This window comes from Homo sapiens, chromosome 1 (assembly GCF_000001405.40).
Source record: "Homo sapiens chromosome 1, GRCh38.p14 Primary Assembly".
Taxonomy (NCBI): domain Eukaryota; kingdom Metazoa; phylum Chordata; class Mammalia; order Primates; family Hominidae; genus Homo; species Homo sapiens.
The window spans coordinates 109,878,307-109,894,051 of record NC_000001.11 but is presented as its reverse complement, the minus strand read 5'-3'; the positions used below and the strand labels follow the sequence as shown (position 1 = coordinate 109,894,051).

The following is a 15,745-nucleotide window of genomic DNA, read 5'->3' as shown; positions in this document are numbered from 1 at the left end:
GAGTGTGCAGACAGACTCCAGGCACAGTGGGGAGGAAAAGAGGAGTTTGGCTGAGGAGAGATGGAAGACGGGGAGCGCTGTGGTGAATAATGACCACAGCCTCTTTAACTGCTCTGCTGGCCCCGCTTTGCCAGCAAATTCTCCATGCAGAGTAATATTTTAAAAGCATAAATCAGATCATGTCACTCCCTTGTTCAAAACCATTACTTAGAATAAAATGCAAACTCCCTAAAGTGACAAACAAGGCCCTAGGGGACCTGGCCTTACCTTGTCCTCTGACTTCTTCTCCCCGGAACTGTGTCCTGCTCACTCCACTACTACCCCTCGACTCCTTGCTGGTCCCTAAGCAAGCTGCTCCCTGCCTCAGAGCACTGGCTGGTGCTGCTCACTCTTCCTGGAAGGCCCTCCTGGATATTGTCACCTGGCCCTCCCCTTCACCACATTCAAGCCTCTGTTCAAATGTCACCTCCTCAGAGAGGCTCTTGCTGAGCATCCTAAGATAGAACTCTCCACCCTTTGTCACTTTTCCTTATTTTTTGCGTGGAAGGCAATTATATTTATTATGTATTACATGTTTGTGTATTTGCTGGCTTCCTTCTTGTTCATCTTCCCCACTAAAGTGTGAGCTCCAGGAGGACAGGGGTTTTGTCTGCTTTGTTCACTCTACATTCTTAGCCCACAGAACAGCCCACAGAACAGCACATAGCACACACTGAGCACACAATAAATGTGCTGAATGGATGTTCGACTAATGAACAACAATCTCTAAAGCGAATTCGCAAGGAGTCTGACATGCAATGGCTCAGCACAACAGCTTTGCAAAGGGGCATCCCCATTTTACAGAGGAGCAAGCCTGGACTTGGAGTAGCTGAGTAACTTGGCCACAGGCAGAGCCCGAGCTTACTGGATTGTAGGCCGTGACCACAGACCAGCTCTTCTTACCCAACTGGGGGACCCTTTCAGAGAGGAACAATCTAGGCCCTCCCTCCACCTTCTCCTAGTTTCAGTAGGGAGATGAGAAGACAATGTGGGGAATAAAGAAGTCCAGCGAGGAGCGCTGGGAGGAGAGGAGGAGGAGGAGCCCCAAGGAGCCGGCTGCTGGAGGAGAGGGCGTCTGTCTTGGCTCCTTGCCGAGGCCTGAGGAGAGAGGCTGTCCTTTGAGTAAGAATTACATGCCCTACATCCCAAGCTAAAGGGCACCTTGGATCCCAAAGCCCACTTCTACCTTCAGGGGATGAGCAGAGATTTGCCTCAGGATGGGAGGGCCCTTCCTAAGGAAGCCCTGACCCTCTGGAAACTTCTCCCTCTCCACCTCCCCACCACCCACTGCAAGCTGCTGGGAATTCCCCACTTCCTGGTAGGAACTATAGAGCCCCAGGGGGAGTTTCCTCAGCCCTGGAATTCAGGACACTTTCCTGCTTTTATGATACTGTCTTCACCCTCTGCATACCAACCCCTCCCCAATACAAATTGGTGGCAAGTAGGTGGAGGAAGGAGGGTCCACTGGAGAACCCCCCCTTACCACCCAGCCCAGGAGCAAACAATTTCTCCCCAGGGCTCAGAAGCTGCCTGTGAGCTTCTTGTTTGGGGCTCACACTGAGTTCCCCCTGTCCTTTATTTGAGATGAGTGACTCGTGACACCACAACTGCTGAATCTACAGCCTCCAAAACCATGCTGGGGTCCAATCTCTAGCCCGGGCAGGAGGCATTCTGCTGGTGCATCTCAGTGTGCCCCCACGCTGTCCCGGTAAGTCACTCCAGCCTGGTCCCTGGAGTTCTTGGCCCTGTCTCTGCTTGCTGGAAGTGCCCCTTCCCTGTCCGTTTCCTGGCAGCGTGTAGGAAAGAATGATGGACAACAGGCCAAAGCTGGGAGGTCTTGTTCGGTCAGCCAGCCTCAGGGAGCCCAGCTGGGATGAGCATCAGCTTGCTGGCATCTGGGGTCTAGACAGCAGTCACATGAGTTGTGTGCACTTGTCTAGTCTGAGACACATCCCAGGCCAACTGTTTGCTCATGTGTCCCCAGAGCACCTGCTACTTCCGGGAAGCTCTCTTGTAACTCATTTCAGAAAACACCCAATCTGCCAAGGCTTCGCTACAAGGCACTGGAAGAGAGAAGAATAAAAGAATGGAGAAGACAGAGCTCCTGCCTTCCAGGAGTCTAGAGGCCCATCCTAACAATCATCACTGTGGTTTAAGATGTGCCAGCCTCTGGAATGAGGTGTGGGGACTCAGCGATAAGTAAAACATTTCTCTGAACTTCAGAAATTTAGATTGTAGCTGGGGAGAGAGACATATAAACTGGTAATTCTACTACATGGTGGAATTACCTGAAAAGCCAGGCAGCTCCTCCCTCCAGCCTCAGCTGAGATGTCATCTTCCCACAGGAAGTCTTCCCTGACCCTCGTCTGGGTAGACGTCCTTCAAGCATCACAGCATATACCACTAAGCTGTGCCATTGCCTGGCAGCCTAGCAGAAACTCCCATTCCCCCATCACCAAAACATGAACACTCTGAAGGCAGGGACTGGCCTTCTGTCTTTGTGTCCTCAGCGTCTCACACAACTAAACATATTTATAGATAAGTGTTACATGAACGATTTCTAAACAGTTGACTGCAATACAAGGCTGACAATATATGCTAAATAGAGATTTGACAACATGCTGGCTTTGTTGTAGAGAAAGGGCTGATTAATTTTGAACTATGAGGATAAAAAAGGCACCAAAGAGAAGGTGTGATTGCGGCTAAGCCCTATGGGATGCACAGGCTCTTGCCAGCCAGAGAAACAGGAGGAGAGCATGAGTCAGGAAAGTACATGCTTTGTTACAGCTAACATACAAAAGCCCACAGGGACTGGCGCATAGGACATGGAGGGAGGAGATGTAGGTGGTCAGGCGAGGAGGAGTCTTGGTATCGTGCTAAGCAAGGAGTGTCGTCTTTGTTCTGTAGACACAGAGACCCTCTGAGAAGTTTCCATGACAGGAGTCATCTAAACTGACCCGCATTTTGCAGAGGCTCTGCTGACGGCTGTGGGAAGGGTGTATTTTGGAGAGTTTATTTCTAGGAGTGTCCTCTCTTTGTCCTCTCTCCCCTGGAAGGGGGAGCTGGGGAAAGTTGGAGGGAAAGGGTGGAGCAGATAAATCAGTTAAGAAGCAATGTAATGTTAGGAGACTGGTGGCAATAACATGAATCAGAACAGGTACAGTGGGAATAAATAGAAAGAGGCAGAGTTGGTGACATGAGAGTGAGACTGAATTATCTACACAGAGTGGCTGGGAGGACATGAGAGAGGAGCAGGCTCCAGGAGTGGGGGAAGGGGAGGAGGCGTTCCATTCTGGGCTGCCATCAGCATGGGAGTAGAGGACGAATCTTAGATTTTCTCAATCCTGATTCATCTTGATAACAAGCTATGTGAGGACTTTGAGGAACCCATTTTGTTCAAAGCTTACACAAGTGACAAAATCTCTTCCTATTATGGAAACATCTCACAGAGCCCTCCCAGTTTTAACTACCACCATCCCACATACACCCACCACCATAGCAACCCACATGGTTGAGACACAGTGGGGTGTTGCCAGGAGAGGTAAGGTGTGGTGTGTACAGGGAGCCCCTGTCATCATCGGGATGACTTTATGTCCGTGAGAGTGGCAGCCCACACCCTAGCCTCTGAGCTGCTGGCTTTCCCCATCTCTGACAACCTTCTGTCCCACTGTGACTTGGCCACCCACTCCCATCACCACTCCCTAGACTTAGTCACCACCCAGAACTCCCTCACCTCTGAAATCACTAATCTTGATGGCCTTCTCTATACTCTCAGCTTCTCCACTCAATCACTTTGTCTACTCTTGACCTCTGACCCCATCAGGTACCCCGTCCATGGATCCCTCTGTTTTCTTTCAATCCAGCAGCCCCCTTTTTCCTGCATTCTCTTTTCTCACACCTGAGATGCACAGCTCAGAATTTTATTCATTCTCTCCTATAACATAAATTCCCCCTTGTTGCACCGCCTGCCAAAATTCCACCGGTGGATGAAGCAGCTGTCCTTTTCCTCTGAACTGCACTGGCATGACAGGTGATTCTGCAGGAGAAGGCCACAGTAGCAAGCTGGCCAGGTCCTCCAACACTGTGACCACCAAGCTTGGCTGGGTCCTCAGTGCTGCCTGCCATACATATTCTAGTCCTGGAAAAACCACCCTGGTAGACCGTATCCCTGTCCTCAAACTTTCCACATACTTACTTCCATCTGAATTCTCAGCAGATGTTATCTCCTACTCCTTTCAAAGATAAGACAGAAGCCAGCCAGGTGTGGTGGCTCATGCCTGTAATCCCAGCACTTTGGGAGGCTGAGGCAGGTGGATCACCTGAGGTCAAGAGTTCAAGACCAGCCTGACCAATATGGTGAAACCTTGTCTCTACTAAAAATACAAAAAAAAAATTATCTTGGGGTGGCGGCAGACGGCTGTAGTCCCAGCTACTTGGGGAGGCTGAGGCAGGAGAATCACTTGAACCCAGGAGGTGGAGGTTGTAGTCAGCCAAGATCGCGCCACTGCACTCCAGCCTGGGTGACAGAGGGAGACTCCATCTCAAAAAAAAAAAAAAGACAGAAGCCTTGAGGCAGTGAGTCTTCAGCCATCCTGCAGCTTCTCTTATCTACCGGCTGCACAGGTCCTCTCCACTTTGCCTCCTGGTTTAATGGAAGGCATACACTCTTCTATCTAATTTGCCCTCTTAGCTTCTGGATCCCAACCCTTGCTGCCATCTCAGGGACCTTGCCTATCCCCTCTTTTCCTTTATCTTCAGCTTCTCCCTCTTTACTCTCAGCTCCCCATCATTTAAACACATTCAAGTCTCTAATGTGAAATCGGGCCCTCCCTTGATTCTATCTCTTCCTCCAATGATTACCCTCTTCTTCCTAGGAAAACATCTCAAACACTTTCCATTTACGCCTCAACTCACTGTGATAGATTTTTCCTCCCTCACAAAATATAAATAAACTGCACCCAAACTACTAATGACCTTCTCCATACATTCAGTGAACAGTTTTAGCCCTCGCATGTTTGATTTTTCCACTGAGGGTCACTTCTTCTTTCTCCTACCCTTGGCTTCCATTACACTTTCCTGTTTGTCCTCCTCTACCCAAACCCTAAATATTGGACTTACTGTGACTGCCCTAGACCTGTCTCCTCTGTTTATTGCCCCTAAGCCACCCCCTGCACTCCTAATGCTTCAAGTGCTGCTCTAGGCTGGAAACTATGGAGGACACCTCTCTTCTAGACCCCTCCTGATCTTCAGATCCATGGGTTCAATTGCCTGTAGGGTTGACAGATTTAGCGAATAAAAACACAGGATGCCCAGTTAAATTTAATTTCAGATAAACAATGGATGCTTTTTTAGTATGAATATGCCCAATGCAATAGGACAGATTTATACTAAAACATTATTTGTCATTTATCTAAAATTCAGACGTAACTGGGCATCCGTATTTGATCTGGCAACCCTGCGTGACTTGACACCTTTATTCGAGACCCCCCCAACAGCAGCCCCACTCAGTATATCCACAGCTGACTTCCCAGGAAACAAACTCAACCATCCAGTGCGTTGTACAAATGAAAAACGGTAGGTTGACTTTGACTCCTCTGTTCTTCTTTAGCTCCCAAATCCTCTAAAATATCCCTAAAATCTGACCTCTTCTCTCCAGCAACAGCCATCATCCTAGTCAAGGCCACCCCATTTTTTACCTGCCACAGCAAGCTTGCTGGTCTCTAGTACGTGATTGCCACAAACAGCCCAATGGTCTTATTTAAATTCATATTTTATCATGGCTGTCACTGGTTTAAATTCTGAAATCCGAAACCCTTACCAGGGTCCCGACGCCCTGCCTTACCAGGGTCCCGACGCCCTGCCTAACGCGGCCCTTGCTCACCTCTCCCTCCTGTTTCTGGCCCATTCTTCCCCTTTCTCAATGCTCCACAGCCACATCGAGCTTCTTTCAGTTCCTCGAAAGTGCTGCTCTGGCCTTGGGTCTTCCCGCATGCTGGTCCCTCTGCCTGGAACAATCCTCTTCTCCTCTCCCTCTTTTCCTCTTAGCTAATGATAATCCTTTAGGTCTCAGGCCCTGTCCTTTGCTCTCCCTCCATCCTATTTTTCCCTTGTGGATCACTTGTCACCCTCTAATGGCCTGGCCAACGCCTGGTTCTCTGTTAGACTGTGAGCACCACAAAAGCAGGACTTTGTCTTCTCTATTGGATCCTGAGCCCCTGGCATAGTCCCTGGCACAGACAAGGAGCTCAATTAATGCTTCAAGGATAAATAAGGGAGTAGCTTTTCTCCCCATTCACCCTTGGATGTCCCCTCTTACCTTCCTGTGAGCTCTCAGTGCAGAGCATTCATCAAAACTGAACATTTTCAAATAGATTTAGAATTTACACACCACGATGTGCCTAAGTGGGGGTGTCAATCCTCCCGGCCCAACACCAATCACTCAGCCAGGGTTATCTGAATCCTGAACGTCAACAGGAATGAGCAGAAGGCAGAGTGGCCAGAGACAAGAGGGAGGGCTGGCAGCCTCCTGTGGGGAGATGGTGGGGCTGATGCTGGTGAGTGGAAGTGAAGGTACAGAAACCCAGGCAGCTTCATTTCCAGGCCTCGCTACTGAAGTGCGGCCTCCAGCAAGGCTGTCCCAAGTCCCACGGAAGACTCCTGAACAATGGGTGTGTTGAGCTTGGGGATTGTGGAGGGCATTCAGCAGGCTGTTACGAAGGAGGGCCTAGAATTGAAGGACGATCAGGCTGAAGGTGTAGATTTAGGATTCACTAACAAGCAAGTGACCATCAGAGCTGTGTGAGTGGTGAGCATCCCTAGGGAGATCATGGGGATGTCCAAGCAGAAGGTACTATTGATAAAACTTTGGGACACCTGATGTAAGGGGCTTAGGAAGAAGAGTAAACTAAACCAGAAATGGGGAAAGAGGAACTACAGCCCTCGAGGGAGAACCATGAAGGTGCAAAGGCCGGAAGCCAAGGGGGTAACTTTTAAAGAAGTGAAGCTTGAGCAACATGGTCAGCTGCCCCAGAGAGGGTGAACGCTGAGAAGTGGCTCCCAGGGTTGGAAAACAGGACGTCAGACATGATCTTTGAAAAGAAAAATTAGCTCATCTCTCCGGTCCCAGCTCCTTCTACCTTCCCTCTGATAGCCCCTCTGTGGGAAGGGGCAACACTTCCTCTCCCTGCCCATTTCTACAAGTGGAAGAACTGTTTCTGATTTGGGGAATGGTCAGAAAGAGAAACAAAGTAAATTCCATTCAAGCAAGGTCACGGCTTATATGTCCAGTTTCCAGAACCTGGGACTGTGATGAGGAAGGCAGGGGTCTGGTCCCCAACCTTCGCAGGCTTACAGGTTAATGGGGTCTCTAGCCATTGCTGCTGCTCAGTCCTGCCCTTTTCAGACCGGGGTTCTTCCTGGTTGACCCCCTGGGTCCTGAGAGGGCTCCTGCAGGCTACATCCTTCTCTGTGCCTTCTCTTGCCGTCACTCCTCTTCTGCCTGGAGTTTGCCTCCCACCTCTTGCTGCTCTGATCCCCAGATCCTGCCTGCAGAGACGGCCCCCAGTCTCCAATTCATTCCACCTCCCAGGACAAGCCTACAACATCCTTTACTGACATCTCCTTCAGGGAAACAAACAGCAAAACAAGCAGAACATGCCCACCCCAGATGGGGAGTTATGAAGCCTGACACCCATCCAAAGCTCCTGCAGCTAGATGTGGCTCTTGGCTCTGATCCTGACCCCTCCTGGGGGCCTCAATGGATTCTGACCCATGGATTTGTTCCTGAGGGTAAGGCCCCCTTCTTTTCTCCACCATAACGCAAGTGGCCCCCTCACCTCCAGCAGGTGAGGTATTTTCCCATAGGAGGTATTTTCTCCTAAAAGGAAGCAGGACAGATTAATCTTTTATAATAATATTTTGTAAATATCACTTTATTATAACACTTTCATGCTCAAAGCCTGTGGCCTGGAAGCTGGGGGAGGTGGCAGGGGGCTTCTTCACTGGTGCTTCAGTCCCTCAGGGTAGGCTCAGGGGGGAAAGTGCTTTCCTTTGGGAGGAGAGTCCACCTGTTTCTCTGCCTCAGTGCTCCCAGGACACCCTCCTGGGCTCCCAGCACAGGAGCAATGAGAGTTTGGACAGGGAGGAGAGAGTGTCAGGAAGTAAAGAATGAGCTTAGAAGACCTTTCTGTCCTGCTGTGGCTCCTGCGTGGCCAACTCCAGATTGCACAAGATTAGGTATCAACTCAGCAGCTGAGTGCTCAAGGCCCTTCTGAATGTCTGGCCCCAATCCATTGCCCAGGGTTCAGGAGGCTTGAGTTCCAACACTCCTGCCAATAACTTCCATGTACCTCGGGCAAGTTCTTTTTTCTCTAGCGTTAGACTCCTTAAGATTACATGGCCCATTCCCACTTTGTCATCCTACAACTCGATGAGTTTGCCTTTCTCCTTTCCTTCATGGCACAAATGTCCTGCTCCAGCCTGATCCATTTTCCTATGCCTTCTAAACACTCTAGACCACCAGGACAGATAGGCTGATTCTCACTCATCAGTTTTGATTGATTGGTGATGGCTGCAGTAAGTTAGAGGGAAACAGTACATCGACAATGTCTGTCAAGGACAGGAGATAGAAGGGGGCTGGCACGTGTGCCATATATTTGTCCATGTCTTACAGCCCTCCACCCTTGGACTCAGGCAATTTCCCCCGCCTGGAATGCTCTCCCTTCTTCTCCACCTGTCCACATTCTTTCAAGGTTCAGATTCTTCAAGAAGCTGGGGTATCTCCCAGCACTCAGAAGTATCTTTCTCCCCTGAACTTTTTAAAGGTAGTGACTTTTGAGGCACATGTGGTTTGTTTCTAGTTTTTAGAGATTGTGAATAGAACCGCTATAAACAAACAAAGTAAATAATAAACAAAGCAAAACAAAGAAGGCCATGATGCTTCTGCTCATTGGACTTTGACTGCAAGCCACCCGGTGGTGTTAAGCTTGTTCTGGTGAGGGTCTGTGTCACTGTCCCTAACAAGACAGTGAACTTGTAGGCAGCAAGGCCTGGCCTGCCCCCGCTGTCTCTCACTGATGTAGGCTGGAGCTAGGCACGGAGCAGGCACTCAGAAGGGTTCACTGACTAGAAAACTTGTGTATACACAAGAAGGACCCCAGAGTCTGATCCTGGCCCCTAGAGACTAACAGTTGGGCTGCCCAAGCTCAATCAACAGAGCAGGTAAGGTCCAACGGGCTTAGTCAGGCGTGAGACCTAGAGCCGGTTTCCCTAGAAGTTGGTTTCAAAACTGGGGAGGAGCTGTTGGATGAGAGGAGGTGGGGAAGTTCCAGCTGTGGGGAAAGTGTGAAGGCTCAGAAGTGGGAACCAAAGAATCTGCTCTGGGAAAGTCATTAGAGAGGTGTTCTAACGCTTTCCCTTCTTCCTGCAGGAAGAATGCATGTTGCATTTTGCCAAGTTGCTCTCAGCTTTTTCCTGCCTGTATGCCATCTTTCTGCAAACTACCAGCGCTGGCCGCCTCGCACAGCGATAATCAGCCTGTCAGTCAATAAACTGAAGATGTTGGTGGTGTGCTGGGGTTGGTGGCCAGCAGTGAGAGCCCTGAGAGTTATAAATTCAAGATGAGAATTGAGATGTTGCCAAGGCTTCACAGAGTCCCTGATTTACTAGGAAATTGTTCCCTAGCCTTGACTGCTGGCCCTGTTATGCAAGGGACTTTGTGTGGGCTGGGGGGATGGTTGAAGGAAAGACAAAAAATAAAAGACCAGAAGCCAGTGTTTAGGCACAGTGGATAGGACATTCCCTACCCCACTGCATTTGGTCACCTATGGTCTGCTATTTAACCTGTCTTAACCATGTTCTGATTTGCATGTGCTTGCTTACTTTCTCCAACTATTTTACAGACCCCTTGAAGGCAGACACTGGCTCATATTTCTGGTGTCTTCCTCCCCCACCCCATTCTAGGCCTCTAGCACCACGCTGGGCTCATGGGAAAGCCGATTGATTAACTGGCTGAATGTGGAGGAGGAGGGGTTAATTAATCCTAGAAAGAAGGCCTCCCAGAGAAGTCCTCCATGCCTGCTCCCTGAGGACCATGAACCTCCCCTAGTCACCCTCTGCCAGCCCAGGCCCTCCTGAGCCTGGTTCTGACACTGTGGGCTCTAGACTGGGCCTTCCTCCTTCAGCCTCTGGGGACAGGTTGCTGGCCTGCAGTTCTGAATATTTCAGTTGGCTCCATGCGTAGGGCCTGCTCCAAGGCCAATCTGAATGAATTTGGCCACCTCCCTGTTTTACAAGTCCCGTTCCTAAACTGGAGCCTACAAACATCTCCCTGCCTTCCTGCACAACGTGTGGCTCTGTTCCCTCAGAGAGAAAACAGTCTGAACCGTCCTGAGCCCATTTCCTTTCCAGGTTTTGCTAGTCTCTTCTCTCGTTGAGGAAGGATGTGCTGGGCCCCAGCCCTGGGTGTGCATGGGGCAGCAACCTGGGCAGCAGTTAGAGAACAGCAAAGGAGGGTCTCCACTCTCCTGAAGCTCCCAGCCCACTGCGGGGACCAGAACATAAGGATCATTGCGAAACCCGTCGAGGCCATGTTTGCTTGATAAGCACCACATGTGTGGAGAGAGAGCTCATCCCAGCCCAGCTTTGGCTCTCCTGGGTGGGCTGGGGTCTGGGGGGAACCCACAGAAAAAATGGGAAGAGAATGCTTCCAAGAGCATGGAGAGCCAGCTCAGCTACTCACCAGCTGTGTGACTTTGGGCAAATTACCTAACATCTCAGGAGTTAGGTTCTTTATCCACACACCAAGATTCCCTGATATTCTAGGATTCTGATGGGGCATGGCACAGAGCTGCAGCCTTGTTGCTACAAGGCTTTGAGAACTCACTGAGCTTGAGGCAGAGGTCCAGACCAGCAGGGAGGGGCCTGGGGCCTGTGATCCTAAGCACAGCTTCTCATGACTGCTAGGTGAGAGGGGTCACACCTGAGAGACTATGGGGCCAGAACCGAATCCTTGAGTCTGGAGATCAGGTGCCTCAGGCCTGGGCTTCAACGCACCCCTGTCCCTGCTTCCCTGGGTCCATGGCTGCAGTGAGCAAGAAAAAAAGAACCCTAGATGGGGGGCGGGGCAGAAGCCACATCAGCACCAACCAGGGCAAACAAAGATGAACTGTCTTCTAGGCTTGAGGTTGTTCATTTGCAAACAACAGTATTTGAGTTGCCACTGTTCCCCGCCTGCCAGGCCAACAGAGGCTGTCTGTGCGTCCGCCCTGCCCCCGTCTCGGGCTCCGTCTCTGGCCTCCACCGGGGCCTTCTGCACGTGCGAGTCCCTTGGTTCTCTGCAGCGGCTCTCAGACACAGGATCTGAGGAGAGGCAGCATCTAGACAAGGGATCAGTGCTGGTTAGAAGGGAGTTTAGAAGGGGGACATTCTGGTGGTGGGGATACCCAGCAGCATGGTAAGTGGAGAAGGTGTGTGCCTGTCACACCCCAGATAGCTGAACTCTGACCACAGCTCAGTGTCCCCCTCCCACCCCAAACCTCAAGGCCAAGGCACAGAGGTGGCCTTTGTCAGTACCCATCAGTCCTGGAAATCTAGGGCTCCAAGAACCTCTGAATTGGCCTCTTGAGATCCTGAAGCCTTGACCCCAGGACAGGCTGATGTTTTGATAATGTCAGGGGCAGGCTCTATGCAACGCATTCCTCCATGAGGTCGACAACCCCTTTCTAGCAGTTCCTTCCTCTGGGATAAGCACTGTCTTATAGGACCTCATCATGCAGGCAGCTGCATGAGTCCCAACAACCAAACAAGCCAGGAGAAACTGGCTCAAAAGCTGGGTAGGCGTACAGGGCCTGGAGAAAGGGGAGACACTCCAGGGGTAGGGGCTCAGCAGCTGGGCCAATGAAGACATCCAGTCCCCCGCTGGCTGAAAGTGAGCCCTGGGAGACAGGTCCGGAGCTTTGGAGCAGCAGCTGAGGAGTGGGATTAGGAGAGAGTACATCTAAGAATATCAGTGGAGATAGATGTCACCCCATTCAGCCGCAGGACCACCTCCTGAGAAGAGGGATGCCCTTTCTTTGCTCACATGCCTAGTCCTTGTCTGCTGTCTGTTCAAAAGGATGGGGGAGTCAGAAAAATTCCAAAGATATGTCGGCACAACTCCCCCACTTCCCACCCTAAGGCGTCAGCCTTCCCTGCTGGCTTCTGCACATCCCGGGCCTGGCTGGGAGTCTCCAGCGAGGGCGAGACCTCTGGTAAGAAAGCCGGCTTGACCCGGAATTGTTCCTCAGCAGACTCATCGCTCAGACAGGAGGAGGTGCAGAGGAGCCTGAGCTACGGGTGCCAGAGACATCAAAGACCTGGGGCCCTGGGAGCCTTGAAGTCAGATAGCCAAGGGTACAATCAGGTTCCCCCAGCTGTGTGGCCTCTTAACCTCTCTGAACTTAGTTTTGTCCTGACCTCACAGTTATGAGAATTAAAGCAGGCAGTGTGTGTGAGAGCGCCTGGCACAGAGCAAGTGCTTATTCATTTTTAAAGTCTCCTCCCTGTGACTCGGGCAGGTGGCAGGGCTATATCCCCAACTCCTCAGCACGACCTGGATGGCCCAGAAAGCCATCCAGGAACCCCTAGCCTGGGCTCAGTGCTGAGTCAGCTCTTAGCAGCCTGGTGCTAAAACTTTGGCCCAGGACCAGGTCCTGGGTGGGCAGAGGTCAGAGCCCTGAACACCACCGTGCTGTGTTCGTCATGCTGTGCTGTGGATGTCCCCCTCCCCCACCGCCACACACAAGCATTGCCCCAATGTCTGAGCAAATCAGTTTCAAATCCTCGATCCCACGCATTTCTCCTCTAAACTGGGAATATGGCGGTCTAGAAGAGCAAAATAAATCCTGTGGGTGGGAGAGCAGTGCCTCCAGCTTAGGCGTGGGGGTGGTGGGCAGGGTAGCTGACTGTATTTATAAGAATCCCAAATTTTTATTGCTACATCTGCTGAGCCTGCCTGTGTTCCCTCCACCTGTTGCCCCTGACTCACGGCCCACCCATCTGCCCAAGGCCTCTGAGGAAGTCCCCAGACATCCTAGTCCTGGCCACCCCTCTACCTAATTTCAGATATCCAAATAAGGAGTTTTAAAAGTGCCTCTGAGAGAAACCTCAGGATGTATACAACATCAGGCCATGAGAGCTTTGCAGTTTTGAGGCAGCTTGCTGTAGGGTAAAAAGGGAGTGAGGTGCAAGTCCAGGCAAGGTCAGGTGAGGCGAGGGAACTGGTGTCCCAAGTCCCGGGGACAGTTTATACACATTTGCTTGGTGGGGTCAGACCAGCCTGTGGCATCTGAGCCTCACCACTTAACGTGCTAGGTGACCTTGGTCAGCTAGTTACCCTCTCTGAGCTGAAGGGACAAGTTCCTACTTGTGGGGTTGTGAGGATTGAATGGGATCAGGGTGTAAAGTGGTTGACCCAGGCCCTGGCCCAGAGTCTGCAGTCAGAAGCTAGAATAACACAAATTATCTAAGCTAATGGCAACTCCATCTTTCCACCATCTCAAGCCAAAAACCATGGAATCATCCCTGACTCCTCTCTCTCTCACATCCCACACCAAAACCATCAGCAAAAGCTGTCATCTCTCCCAATGGCCAGGACCCCACCTGCTCTCACCGTCTCCTATTGCTCTGCCCGGGTCCACACCACCATTATCCCTCACCTGGGTTATGGCTGTGGTGTCCTGGCGTGCCTCCCAATGACCCCTCGGTCTTTTCTCAGCATAGCAGCCAGAGGGATCAGGCTCTCCATGGCTCTCTATTTCACCCAAGTTCATGCAATGGCCAGGAAGGCAGCTCGTGATCTGCCGCTTGTGCTAACCGCCCTGACCTCTACTCCCACCACTCTCCCCTGGCTCCTCTGCCCCAGCCTCTCTGCCCTCCTGAATCTTAGCACAGAGACATAGGCTCCCCTTGCCAGGGGCGCACGCCCCTGATACCCTGCAACTCAATCACCCCTTTCCTATGAGGCCTACTTTGACCGCTCCCTGGCCCTAGCCCAGATCCCCCTCATTCCTTTACCTACTTCACAGGTCCTTTTTTTTTTTTTTTTTTTTAGATGGAGTTTTGCTCTTGTTGCCCAGGCTGGAGTGCAGTGGAGCAGTCTTGGCTCACTGCAACCTCTGTCTCCCGGGTTCAAGCCATTCTCCTGCCTCAGCCTCCCAAGTAGCTGGGATTACAGGCACCCACCACCATGCCTGGCTAACTTTTTGTATTTTTAAGTAGAGACAGGGTTTCATCATATTGGCCAGGCTGGTCTTGAACTCCTGGCCTCAGGTGATCCACCCGCCTCGGCCTCCCAAGTGTTGGGATTACAGGTGTGAGCCACCATGCCCGGCCTACTTCACAAGTCGTTTTGCCCACAGCACTTAGCACATTCTAGCCTCCCATGTAATCTGCTGATTTAATCTGTGTTTTGTACCCTGATGTATCCTAGACACTTCGAACTCAAAAAATATTTGTGTGTGAGTGATATAATCTCACAACAATCCTATGAGGTGGTTAAGTCAGCCTACTCATTTTAATGACAGAAACCCCAAGTTTTCCATGCTTAAGCTGTGATTCTCTCCGAGTGTCTGGGGTCAGGGTCAGGGTGACATTGAAAACAATGGCCCCCAGGACTGCCCAGCCCCCTCCCCTTTATGATTCCCCCACCCAGCATGCTGGCCACTTGAAACACTCTGGCACATGCTGAGATGCAAACCTATTCCTTTGGCTCCCCTCTGCACAGCTGAGGCCAACTAGAACTTTCCTGAGTTTTTCCTACTTCCCACTAAGGGAGGAAATCAGGGAAATTAACACAGAGAACATAAGAATCATAAAAACTGTCTGGCTTACAAAGTGAAGGCTTCTTACAAAGCAGAGGGGACTGCTTTGTTTCCAGTACCTTCTGAGGTGGCTGTGTTCCTACCTCAGGACCCTGGCATGACTCTCTAGGTGCCTGGCCTGTGTCTTCCACTTCCCAGGACCCAACTCCCACCTGCTACCTGCCTCCCACATTCCCCATCCTGCCCGTGGAGCTAGAAAGCTCACCCTGCCATTTCCTCATCATGACTAGAGAAGCTCACTTCTCTGGGACAGTTCTCTCTTCTGTAAAATGGGAAGGGTAGTGCTGGTGGGAGGTACAGATGAAATAACAGTGTGACGGGCTTTGGGAACTTTCAAACCTTACGCAAAGCTAAGATAAAGTGGAGGTGTGCAGGTGGGGTCAGGACCTGCCCCGGAGCCAGGAATTCTGACACAGTGGGTATCTGCAAAATATCCCGTTGCCGGGGCAGGACCCCTTGCCTGGTCAGGACCCCTTGCCTGCGAACTTGCAATTTGATCACAGACAAAGGAGATTTGCTTTCAGTTGAACAGTGACACTTTGGTCTCCCACTTACCTCGTTGTAGATGAGGCAGAAATTGGAGGACCTGGAACACAGAGGGAAAATGAGGCCAACAGTGGGGCCATGCTTGGAGGTACCCCCAAATCTGGTACAGGATCCCAGAGGAATTTCTGGGTGCAGTGGTGCACCCCTGTAGTTCCAGCTACTCAGGAGGCTGCAGTGGGAGGATCACTTGAGCCAAGAATTCCAAGTCCAGCATGGGCAACATAGTGAGACCTGTCTCTTAAGAAGAGAAAATCCCCAGGAGGTCATGTCCTGGCAAGAGCCCCTTAAGAGGCAGAAGCCTT

General features: G+C 51.1%; 1 long non-coding RNA gene across 1 annotated transcript in view, besides 5 other annotated features; it reads right to left on the bottom strand.

Annotated features, from left to right (window-relative positions):
* The window catches only part of LINC01768 (long intergenic non-protein coding RNA 1768), a 77,840-nt gene that overhangs the window by 11,842 nt on the left and 50,253 nt on the right, over nucleotides 1-15,745 (bottom strand). The window lies entirely within an intron of this gene.
* Nucleotides 3,511-3,805: an enhancer, noted in NCBI's record as "tiled region #12342; K562 Activating DNase matched - State 5:Enh". NCBI's record gives its function as "activates a minimal TATA promoter and a strong SV40 promoter by Sharpr-MPRA in K562 cells {active_cell/tissue: K562}" and the evidence as "EXISTENCE:reporter gene assay evidence [ECO:0000049][PMID:27701403]".
* Nucleotides 4,491-4,915: a transcriptional cis regulatory region, noted in NCBI's record as "candidate enhancer chr1.7635 targeted for multiplex CRISPR interference". NCBI's record gives its function as "positively regulates SARS1 gene expression in K562 cells {active_cell/tissue: K562}" and the evidence as "EXISTENCE:mutant phenotype evidence [ECO:0000015][PMID:30612741]".
* Nucleotides 11,521-12,360: an enhancer, noted in NCBI's record as "H3K4me1 hESC enhancer chr1:110424314-110425153 (GRCh37/hg19 assembly coordinates)". NCBI's record gives its function as "activates a minimal SCP1, AML or CMV promoter by ChIP-STARR-seq in naive H9 embryonic stem cells {active_cell/tissue: H9 hESC(naive)}" and the evidence as "EXISTENCE:reporter gene assay evidence [ECO:0000049][PMID:30033119]".
* Nucleotides 12,361-13,201: an enhancer, noted in NCBI's record as "H3K4me1 hESC enhancer chr1:110423473-110424313 (GRCh37/hg19 assembly coordinates)". NCBI's record gives its function as "activates a minimal SCP1, AML or CMV promoter by ChIP-STARR-seq in naive H9 embryonic stem cells {active_cell/tissue: H9 hESC(naive)}" and the evidence as "EXISTENCE:reporter gene assay evidence [ECO:0000049][PMID:30033119]".
* Nucleotides 13,305-13,805: an enhancer, noted in NCBI's record as "H3K4me1 hESC enhancer chr1:110422869-110423369 (GRCh37/hg19 assembly coordinates)". NCBI's record gives its function as "activates a minimal SCP1, AML or CMV promoter by ChIP-STARR-seq in primed H9 embryonic stem cells {active_cell/tissue: H9 hESC(primed)}" and the evidence as "EXISTENCE:reporter gene assay evidence [ECO:0000049][PMID:30033119]".